The 11,277-nt window shown below is 48.5% G+C and overlaps 1 long non-coding RNA gene across 1 annotated transcript; it reads left to right on the plus strand.

Annotated features, from left to right (window-relative positions):
* The first annotated feature begins 4,110 nt into the window (after positions 1-4,110).
* On the plus strand, positions 4,111-7,285 carry LOC101926959 (uncharacterized). Its single transcript, XR_007087142.1, has 2 exons — positions 4,111-4,985; positions 6,478-7,285. It is a non-coding gene; the product is annotated as an uncharacterized LOC101926959 (long non-coding RNA).
* The last annotated feature ends 3,992 nt before the right edge of the window (positions 7,286-11,277 follow it).

Consider the following 11,277-nt stretch of genomic DNA (forward strand, 5'->3'; position numbering starts at 1 on the left):
CTGGACCAAGGCCTCCAAACTGTGCCCTGTCCTACATGCAGTGCTTGGTGGACATGGAGTTGGCATACCCAAAGGATGGGCCATACTGAGGGAAAATGAAAGTCCTGGTGTCCTCTGCTGTATTTTGGGGTGGCTTCATGTATTGGGTCAGGGTTGCAGTATTTGGGGGCTTCGGGACAAAAAATTTAGAGTAGAGCAGTGTCCTTGGCTTTGGACAGACAGGAGGATGGACAGAATGACCAAGGAAACATAAGCAACATTTGTGGGGTGTGGTATAGCTGGGTGTGAGGATGAGTGTGTGTGTGAGAGGGGTGGAGGGCTCTGTCTCTACCTTTGTTTAATCTGCTTACTGAGTTATTGTTTTTTGTTTTTTTTTTTAAGAAAGCCTTTCCCTGGCTGCTTATCGCCCCAAGGTCAGCTGTGCTGGCTGCTGCAGGTTCAGTTCTGGGGTACCCAGGGCAGTCTTCACCAGGCAGGAGGAGCCCTCGGAGTAGGGCAGGGAGAGATGGCAAAGAGATCAGCAAAGCTCATGAGGGTGTTTGGAAATGCATTTGGTAAAGAAGTGAGGGTGGAGTGAGCTGAGATGGTCTGTGCTGGGCTTCCTTGGGTGGGGTGGGTGGGAGAGGGGAATGAGGGTGCCTGGCCTCAGAGGCCAGGTGGACAATGAGTCGAGTGGGGTTGGGGGGTACCAGGTAGAATTCTGGAGCAGGGAGGAGGAAGGCCGCGGAGAGGCTGTCCAGTGAGGCAGGACCAGGATGGGGGCACACAGGGGACGGGAGAATGGAGGGAGACTAAGTCTGATTCAGGAAAACAAAAACAGAATCTGGGACGAAGCAGTGGAGGAACTGAGACGGGGTGCAGGCCTTCCACAACCTTTCCTTCCCCATCCCACCACATCCTCTGTTTTCCCAGCTCCACATCCTCATACTCTATATCCAGCCAGCACTAATTTTCTTTTTGATGTCTTCTTTTTCTTCTCCTCTCCAACCAACCATATTGTGGGACTGAAGCATTCTTTCTAGTTCTAAAAAACATACAACCTTAAATATAAAAGTTGGGTAGAATAATTCATACTTTCGCATCAAATGTCCTGACATATCCAAACTTGCAGATAAACTATAAATGCTTTCTTATAATTCAGCTGATGGTCCACCTACCCATGCCTGTGTCCCGTCCTTGTGTGCTGGCTGGAGGAGAGACTGTGATGAGCGAGACCAGAGTTCCTGCCCTGACCCCTCAACCTTGGATGAGCTATGGGCCTCCTGGGGCCTCATGACCAAAAGATCCGCGCCTTCTAGCCCTGCTCTGGAGGGCAGCACACTGTGGTCTGGGTATCTTCTGCTGGGCTGGCAGAGCAGGAGGCAGACCAGGCTGCTGGAAGCGGCAGCTCTAGGGCAGTGCTCTCTGCCTTTATCTGGTTTGAGAGGCAGGACAAAGCTGTCTTCCATGGGGCCTGGCATCTTAGGAAAGGGACTCATGCCTTTTGACATTATCCAAGAAGGTGGGATAGGCCTGGGTAGGGCAAGGATGGAGGCTCCAGCCAAACACCAGAGGTCCAGTTTTTCTCAAGGGCAGGGAACAGATAATGTACCAAGTTTCAGTTCCGCCCATTGCTGGGTTTGTGCCCTTGATAGAGTCCTCTCCCTGTCTGGGCATCAGATTCCCTGTCTCATTAAAGGCAGATTGGCACTGAATAACTAACGCAACCTTTGCAATTCCATCTATGGCCAAATTTCCACGACCACCCGCCCAGACAAGCCTAAACCATGGTGTCTTCGCCAGCACCATCCAGACCTGCAGGGGCTGACACGGGCAGCCTCGGGAAGAAGGGCACCTTTCTTTACCAGGATCAACATATTGGGGTCCCTCTAGTTTGCTTCTCTGAGGGTTGGGGCACAGGCAGATGTCACGGACATCAGAGGGCTTGAGAAGCAAACACCTATTTAAGGAGTGAGTTGAGAAGCCCCAAGCGCAACCTCTGCTGCCGCCTCCTGTTTCCCGTCCCCCACCTCCCCCCCCCACCAACTCATTCAGTCCTCTCCACGTGCAGCCTGTATCCCTATCCACGCTGATACCTCCAAGGCCTATCAGGATGGTCAGCCATCCCAGCTGCTTCTGTCCCGCTGCAGCAGCAAGAACTTCCTCTGAAAGCGCCTCTGCATGCCTCCCTCTGGGCGCAGCTCTGTTTGGGGCTCCTTCAGGGGAGGGGGACGGGGGTTCATCCCTTTCTTTTGTGCTGCCTTTCCCTCCCACTTCCGCTCCCCTCGCTGCTCCAGTGACCTTTCACCCCTCCCTTGGACGTCCCTCAAAGGCAGCTCCCGTGGTTAATAACTTCGGCTGGCAGCCCCACATAAAGCCAGGGCCGGAAATCATTGTCCCGGGGACAATGGCCGAGCAGCCCAATAATGAGGTGGCCATAGTGTTGTCTGACATCCCACGTTGCCCTGGCAAAGGGGGAGGGGCAGCGGGGCTCGCCATGCCCTCGCCTCCTGGAGTTGAATTCTTCCGCTCGCACATGGTGGTTCCTCTTTCTGAGGCAGCACCACGCACCTGTGCCCTCCAGTGGCTGCATTTCCCTGGGACTGCATGCTGAGGGGATGTCACCCAGAGACCCCGACCCCCCTCAACACACAGCACCGTTGTTACTTTGCCTCATTTTCCTGCTCCCATGTCCCAGGGAGCCAGTCAGTACCGCATAGTAGGGCAATTGATCGGTTCTGGCTAATCCATAAGGGAGGGGAGATCTCAGCCTGCCGCCCAATGGGGAGCATGTGGCACTCTGGAAAGAGCATGTGCTCTAGAGCCAGAGGGCATGGGTTCAAGGTCTCCCTTCTACCTTTCTAGCTGTGTGACTTTGGGGAAGCTGCTTGACTTCTCTGAGTCTCCACTTACTAATCTATAAAAGCAGAAGTCGGATGGGAGCTGAGAGGAGGACTCTCACAAGCAACCTCAGAGGTGAATAACTGTGACCTCCAAGAAGTCACCATGTCCTTGCCACTCTGGTGGGTCTGGGCATCTTCTGCTGGGCTGGCAGAGTAGGAGGCAGACCAGGCTGCTGGAAGCAGCAGCTCCAGGGCAGTGCTCTCTGCCTTTATCTGGTTTGAGAAGCAGGATGTAGCTGTCTTCCATGGGGCCTGCCATAATATGAAAGGGACTCATGCCTTTTGACATTATCCAAGATGCTGGGATAGGCCTGGGTAGGGCGAGGATGGAGGCTCCAGCCAAACACCAGAGACTCAAACTCTTTGTGAGAGTGGCCCTGCCTCAGTAGTAACTTCATGCTTTTTGGGTAGGTCCAGCCTTGTATATTCCAAACCAGACCATCAGTGACTGAGAGACGTAGTGTGTTTCCTGCTTTCCTCTCTCTCTCCACCTTTTGCCCTCTGCACAATGCTGGGCACTCGGAAAGATCCCAATGCAGCGGTATGGTAAGGATTGACTGCTAACATCTGCAAGAGGCATTCAAGCAGTTCTCAGCCCTGCTGCCCATTGGAATTTCCTGGAGAGGCTTAAAAGATACCCAGAAATTTTGCCCTAATTGGTATAGGCTGTGGCATCAGGTAAAGAAACATTTATTTATATCCTTAGAAAATGAGCCAACTCAGACTTATTCCTGAGCACAGCCCCTTCCTTGGGGGAGAAATACAGTATATTTCAAGGCAGTCTTGATATTCTTAAATATAGTATTCTTTATTACAGCCTTATTCTAAGTAATGATTTAAGTTTAGGGATAGTTTTTTTTAAATTAATTTTATTGAGGCATAGTTTGCACATACTACAATATCCCCATTGAAAGGGTACAGTTCATGAGTTTCGACAAATGTATACATTTATGTAACCACCACCCCGGTGAAGATGTAGAATAATCCACCATCCCAGAAAGTTCTCTTGTGGGCGTGGGATTTTCGAAGCTCTCCAGGCGATTCTATGGTGCAGCGGACTCTGAGCATCATGGAGGCTCACTCAACAATCTCTGCTTTAGAATCTCAGAGAGGTTGTCCAGGACAGCACTTCTCACACTTTAGCATGCATCTCCTTGGATCTGGCTGAATGCCCATTCCATCCCAGAGTGGGGCCCGGAACCCTGCATTCCTAACAAGCCCAAACCACACTTTGAGGCTCTGCTACAAGTCTCTCATTTTGGAGGTGAAGGAAACGGAGGCTGAGAGTGTTGATGTGAGTGGCTTGCAAATCCTGATTCTGAAGCTCCTGGACTAATGACAATCATATCCCTTGCCCTTCAATCTCTTTTTCGACAGCCACCCTAACCCAGAATCCTAAACAAGAGGCGTAGCCATGATAGGATCTCTCTCCTATTTCCCTTCTGAGTGTTGTCCATTGCTTCTAGCCTATTCCCATCTTTCTTGTCCTGACCCAAGTCACCTTCCTGGGGAAGGGCCCCCTCCTCTGCCTGTTTCTGTACCAGCACCTACCTTTTCCCTATCAACAGCTCGCTTTCCTGGTTCATTCCATTCCTTAATATGTATCAACTCAATTTAATAAGCAAGTGTTTATTTAGCAATAGAACTGGGTCAGACCCTATCGTGCCCTTGAGGAGGAAGGCAAACTAGAAGCTGTGATTAAGTTAACAGATAAGACAAATAAATAACAGGATATATAAGGTGAGGAGAGACCTTAGTGACTGCCCAGCTCAGTTCCTCATTTTATAAGTAATGTTTAAGAGCAATGACCCACTCCTACTTTCAGCAAAGAGGTGCACATAGCATAGACCCATAGAAGAGGAAGGATCTGAGAAGGAGTTTGAAAAAAGTGTAGGAGAGGCTGCGAGAAAACAAGGCAGGTGTCCTGGCTGAGGGCAGGAAGGAGACATTGCGATGGAAATTGTGCCCCATTTTCTTGGAGGATTGGGAAGAGGACCTGTGGACTGGGCGGCCCACACAACTGCTGTAACCTCAGGCAGTTTTCAAGCAGATTGACCTTCCTGCTGGAACACGGCACATGAGGTGAAGTTCTCCTCTACCCAGGTCTGTCCTTAGCACCTTATGCAGGGTTTAACCCCCATGGGCATAAACAGGGTGTGTATCTGGGGTGGTTTGGGGATTAGGTCCCATGAGCACTGGGACCTGAAGATGCTTGGTCTAGAGAAGGGACGGTGTTTGGTCTGGGAAACATGGGGGTCATGTTTAATATTATATAGACAGTCACATGGGATATTTAATTAGCAATGTGGAATTTAGAGAGAGGCAGGTTTCACTTCACCTTTGGGAAGTACTAGGTTCTAACACACCTCCCTCGCCTGGAAAGAGATTGAACTACCACAGATTGAATCCCTTGGGAGGAAGGAATTTCAGTCCCTGAATGTGGACAGCTGAGGCTGGATGAGAACAGAGAGATGTCAGATGTCCAAGCTTCTGTGTCCACTCCCTGAGAGTCCACTAGGGGAAGCCAGTCATCATGGTAGCCTCATGTTCATCTTCATGTCTGAGGTTCAGCCCCAGAGCAATTTCCCTGTGGCCATCTGGCCGGGAGACATGTTTCATTTCTCTCCCAGAGGAACAGGCACTTCATTTCCCTCCCAGAATAGATCCACATCCAGAAGAATGTAATGGAGACAGGCAAGAACACAGAAGATTGCATAGGTTTAGGAAAGAAGAAGGCAACAAGGTTCTGTTGGGTTGCATCTGAGGAATCTTAGGTACCTAAAAAAATAGGTCTGGAATTAAAATAAGATGTTAGTGTTGAAGGTATAGAAATGTGAGTTAAAATGATGGCATGAAGCTTATCTAGGGAGATCACGCAGCTCCAGATGATTGTGGACTGAATGTCTTGTAGGGTTTTGGGTAGGATGAAATGTGAGTGGAATTTGGCCATAATCAGCCCTTAGAGTTGGCTTGAGCCCTGCCCTGGCCAGCTGTGTGTCCTTGGGTATGCCAACGTGCTTTCCTTTTCTGCATAACGGTGAGATTGTCCACAAGATATTTAAGGTTCTTCTAGCTTAGACACTGTAGAATTTACATTTTAAGGTTTTCGGGATTCAATTCAAATTCCAATCCAGAAGCAGATATCAGGGCCGATCTGGACCACCTCAGGAGAATAGCAGGGTCAGTGTCCAGAGGGGCTGGTCATGATGGGAGGGTCTTGAGGAAGGGAGACAGAAGAGAAGGATAAATGTGACTTGAGGTGGGAAAGAAAAACTTGGACTGTCCTCAGTCCCTTCAGTCAAGCATTGCAGAAGCTGTGTCTGCCTGCCAATTGCCTGCCAGTCAGACTGAGAATGTCCCCACAGGACCTCACAGGGGTTGCCTGGTCCATGTTCCACAAAGCAGGAACAACTGCTGGTTAATTATGCAGACACAAGGTGAGGAGTGCAGCTGTCTCTGGAGTTAACTCTCAAGGAGCTGCAACTTTAACAGTTAGCTCCCAGCCAAATGTGGGGGACAGGCTTTTCATGGTCCTAGGAGAAATAGGTCTACTGGGCTTGTCCAACCCAAAGCCGGTTGCCTCTATCGCCCCCAGGGTTGCTTGGCCTTGCCTCCACCATGCCTGACACTGGCGCTCTGCTGGGAGGAAAAAGCTTGCTCTGTTGCTGGCTGTGTGGAACAGAGAGGGAAGTGGCAGACAGTCTGGGCCCAGCACTTGGGTATCGTGCTCTAGCCATGCGACTCATCTCTCCAGTTCAGACCTGCCCCTGGAAAAAAGAGCCCAGACCTCATCATGAATGCTTTCCTAGGAGAAAATGAACAGCTGGACAATGCTCCTGGTCAGTAGGCCTGAAGGATGCTGGGATGCAGCCCTCAAGATGGAACAGCCAGGATGCCAAGTATCCCTCTTGCCCAGATCCTAAGGCACTTTTTCTACTGATCCATATTGGCCTCAGGAGATGTCTCAACACAGCACCCCAGCCAATGGAGCTGCCACATAAGATGAACTCTTGATCATCTCTAAACTAGAGAGTTAAACTCAACACTAGCAAACGACTTTGGGTTTATGCATATGTCATGTTTTCTCTGGCAACTGCACAGAATCATCTCTAAATATCACATCTATGGTTGGCAGGAGTGGCATGTATAATACAAAATGTCTGGTGGCCCTACTGTCACAAAACCTGTATAAAAGTAAATTCACAAATGGCTTTTTAGAACTGATGACAAAAAGTTACTCGTTATCACTTTTCTAATTAATTTCCTAAAAGGGCAATTTGAAATCATACTGGGATTCTCACAATTTTGGTTGACAGTCAAGTAAATTGCAGCTACTTATCAAGCACTTTTGAATGAATACATGAAGAATGAATAAAATGAAAGCTCTCCTGTTGCCCTCAGCATCACCAGTGTTCTGTATTTCTTCCTGTAACCTTTCCATTGGTTTAAAAACCTTTCTCAAGTGAAAGCAATCTCTTTAAAAACTGCAACATACTGCTGATGAGTTTTTGCTGTGGAAACATTCTCTATGCCTGCAAACCAAATCACCCTCTCTCTTTTCCTGGGAAGCACATCTTTCTCAGAGCAGAGCTTTGCAAAAAGGGGAAACCAAAGCTTCCACGAGGTGATAGTTACAGCTGCTCTCTCTTCCTGTTGCCCCAGGTGCCAAGGTGCAGAGGGGCAAGGCGGCAAGGCCTAGCCTGGGCAGAACTTGTCTGTCGTTAACTTTGCAAACTGACTTTCTGAACAACTGTGGTTTATTTCACTTTGATGTATATCTACTCAACTACTCTCTAGTACGTTTTCCTTCCTAACTGTGTTTGCTGTGACTTATGGTAAGATCTGAGTGTAGTTCCTGAGATGCTCTATAGGGTCAACAATGGGGTGTGTTGTGATGCTTGATATAAATGCATAACCAGGCAGCACGTGGCATGGTGCACACTCAGACCTGCCTGTGAAGGCTTGGCATTTAGGTAAGCAGCATTCATACATCCTCCTGAAAAGAGCCACCAGTGTGGGCTTATTGTTGTCCAAGTGTACCAGGGACTCTAGGTGACCTTTGGTTTGCTAGTAATCCTGTCCCTTCCTTTTCTGCTTCCTGCTTGGGTTGCAAAGCCATCACTCCCCACCACCCCTGCCCCTGGCCCCCAACAGAGAGAAGGGTGGAGCTAGCAAGTTGGTGTAATGAATTCATGCTGAAGTCTGAGATTGAGGAGTAGGGTGGAGGAGGAGAAACACTTTCTGAAGAAGCCACCAGGCATCACAGAATTCTACGTGCCTGAGATGGAAGGAGCACTAAGGGGCATCCAGTCCAACTTCCTCATTTCAATAAAGACAAAACAAGAGCCAGAAGGGGGAGGTGGCTTATAAAGTTCACAGAGCTCATTTTTGAGAAAACTAGGACTGTGCAGTTTGGGTCTTCTGACATCCAATCTCCTGCATGTCCATGTCCCATGCTGCTCCAGGGTGGACTGTGAACATTAGTCAGACGGTCCCCTGAGAGCATCAGTAGTCTGTGAAACCTGAGTCTCAAGGCTGAGAAGCTGGTGGAAGTAGCCTTGGGTTTCTGGATAAACACACTTTTATCCCCGCCTTTTCTAGGCTCTGCATTCCCATTGAACGGGAAGATTTTATGCATTTCAAGATAGTTTAAAAATATTTATCATGTCATTTAATTCTAAAACCAATTTTGGAGCAGGACTATTATTTCCATTTTATAGATAAGAAAACTGAAGCCCATCCAGAGATGGTGAGTAGCTTATTTAAAGTCATAGTAGAGCTGAGAGTTTTAAGTGGCTTGTAAGAACCCCATGGCTGGGTTCTTGGGCTTCTCTTGCTGGCTGTCCAGCTGGGCTCTGCTGCACTTGTTAGTTACATGAGACAGTCTGCATAGATGGTTAGGGACAGCTTCGCAGTAGGAGAAGGGACTAAGTGCTATAATCTGTTTTAAACTATGAGAACTTATCTCATTTGGATGTTTACTGGTCTGAAGTATGCATCCTACTACTTCCAGGGAATTTTAGAGTTTGAGTCATTGAATTCCTAACGAGAGATTTCATCTTGTGCACTGAAAATGACAGTCTTGTTGTCATACAACCTTGGGTCTGAGCCCAGCTCTATCACTTAAAAGCTGCATGACCTAGGGAAAGCTACTTAATTTCTCTGAGCCTCTGTTTCTTCATATGGAAATAAGTGTGCAGGAAGTTTATTGTGGAGTGTTTCTGGTAGCAGAATCTGCTGGGGAAGAGAAGGAAGTAGAGTAGGAAAGAGGAAGAAGCTGAGCAGCAATGTAGGTTATGCAGAGCCCTGAAGCTGGATGGTTCTGCAGAGTGGTACTGACTTGGGGTGAGGGGGACCAGGCCTTTAGAGCCCCATAATGACCATCATTGGATGTGGGGCTTGACCTTGGGTGAGTTGGCTCTCTTTATAAAGGGTAGTTCAGAGAGGTCCAAGAGCTGGGAAATGAGTCCTTTAATCTTGATGGGGGATCAGGGTGAAGCAGGACAGCATCCACCTAGTATTTGCAGTGCTGTTTCAGGATTAAGTGAAATGATTGGAATGCACATACAGCACAGAGACTAAGGCAGAGAACGTGCCTAGTTGACAGTAGGGCATGTTCCTACTGTCAGTGTGGCCTCCTCCCCATTCTTCATGCCACTTCTTGTTCTCTGGTAAGGAACCTCTGCTTGATCTTTCAGATAAATCTAGAGGGGCCACAATCCACAGACCTCACGGAGAGCTCAGAGGACCAAAGGGAAGAAAACCCCACCAGAGAATTTGCCTCTGTTCAACAACCTAGCCTGACCATCTTGCTGCAAGGGCATGGAATTGTGTGTTTATGCCGGGGGTGGTGAGAGGGGTTTGGGTGTCTCTGCTAAATCACTAACGAGCTTTTTCAGACAGAAAGCATGTCTAATATTCCATTCTCATTTCCCAGACAGTGCTTTGGCTTAGTGTTGCAGGTCACAATGGATATTTGTTAACCTGATTTAAACCTAACCATATGGAAGAGATTATTTTGTGTCTGTGAGGCTGACACAGTAGTAGTCATAGTTCCCTCGTGCCAGGTGGCCTGTACACAATTTTCTGTAATCCTGAGAATCCTTCATGGTAACTGCCGCTCCTGTCTACCTTTTACAGATTAGAAACCTGTGGCTCAGAGCAGCCAGGTCACAAGGCCAAGCTGATTCCGCTGATAAGTGGCAAAGCTGGAACCCCCTCCCAGGAGTCTGACTTGTGCCATTCCTATGCCCCAATGCCTTGCTCTGTGTCCTGTAGTTCTCTCTTTTCAGGAAAAAGAAGGTAGACCTGGGTGTCCTGTGTTAGAAGAAAAAGCAGAATTATGAAATTCATATGGCTTGCTGGCCTACAAAGGAACTATAGGGGATAGTGACCCAGCCTGTTCATCTTAAGGGTGGTGGTGGGAGATTGGCAGCAGAGGAGAAGCCTCAGCCTGGAAGGAGAGGAGCTGAAATGAATTTGTGAAGAAGCTTATGGATCTTCCTCCCCTGAGACCACTACAAATAGGACACAGCAGCCATCAGTGGCAATAATCAGTGGTTCGCTGCTCATCAGAAACCAAGGTGGGCTGATAAAATATCAGCTAGGGTCAGCCCAGCTGTCCCACTTCAGGAAGACCTGCTTTGGGAGAACACGAGCTTGCAGGCCAGGACAGGTGGGGTGGCTCCTTATTTAGTCGTCTTAAATTAGCTCCCTATTTAGTTGTCTTAAATTTCTTTACTTTTCTTAGAGACCTTTTAACAAGTGCATTTCCCTGGTGCATTGAAAATTGGACTTGGTCCATGTGTAATATATAACATTGCAAAGCCCCACCTACTGCCTAAGGTGTGTGTGCTCACATGCTCTGCAAGTGATTGCTCCATTTCTGGCACTTTGGTGTCCCTGTTGCCTTGAAATCCATGACATGTCTGAACAGGTGTGCATTGTGGAGCCCTAATCTTCCCCAAGGACCCTACCCTGAGTCTTGGACCTGGGGATGCCTGCTCTTACTGCTCCTCTTTTCAGGCCCATTGCTCTGCTCCCTCTCCCCTTACCCCTCTGATTGGATCTCGGTTGCTTTTCTCTAGGGCTCACCTTGGTTTCTGTATGCATCTCACACTTGCAATTTGGGTTTTGTCTACTGTGTATAAAGTGACTCCTTGGATCAGGAACCCAGACACACTCATGTCAGCTCCTAGGACTGAGAATGGACAGGGGATGCAGGGGCTTAGAGGAAAGAGGGCTGCCAGAGATATTCAGACCTCAGCTTCCTGACCCAATCTCTGTCATTTAGCTTGAATCCTCTCATCTGCAAGTTGTTTGGCAGTGTTTGCAAAGGGTGTGGCACACACTTGGAGATGCTCCATGAAAGATGGCTGCTGTTGTTGCTGCTGCT

The sequence above is a fragment of the Homo sapiens genome, chromosome 2, assembly GCF_000001405.40.
Source record: "Homo sapiens chromosome 2, GRCh38.p14 Primary Assembly".
Taxonomy (NCBI): Eukaryota; Metazoa; Chordata; class Mammalia; order Primates; family Hominidae; genus Homo; species Homo sapiens.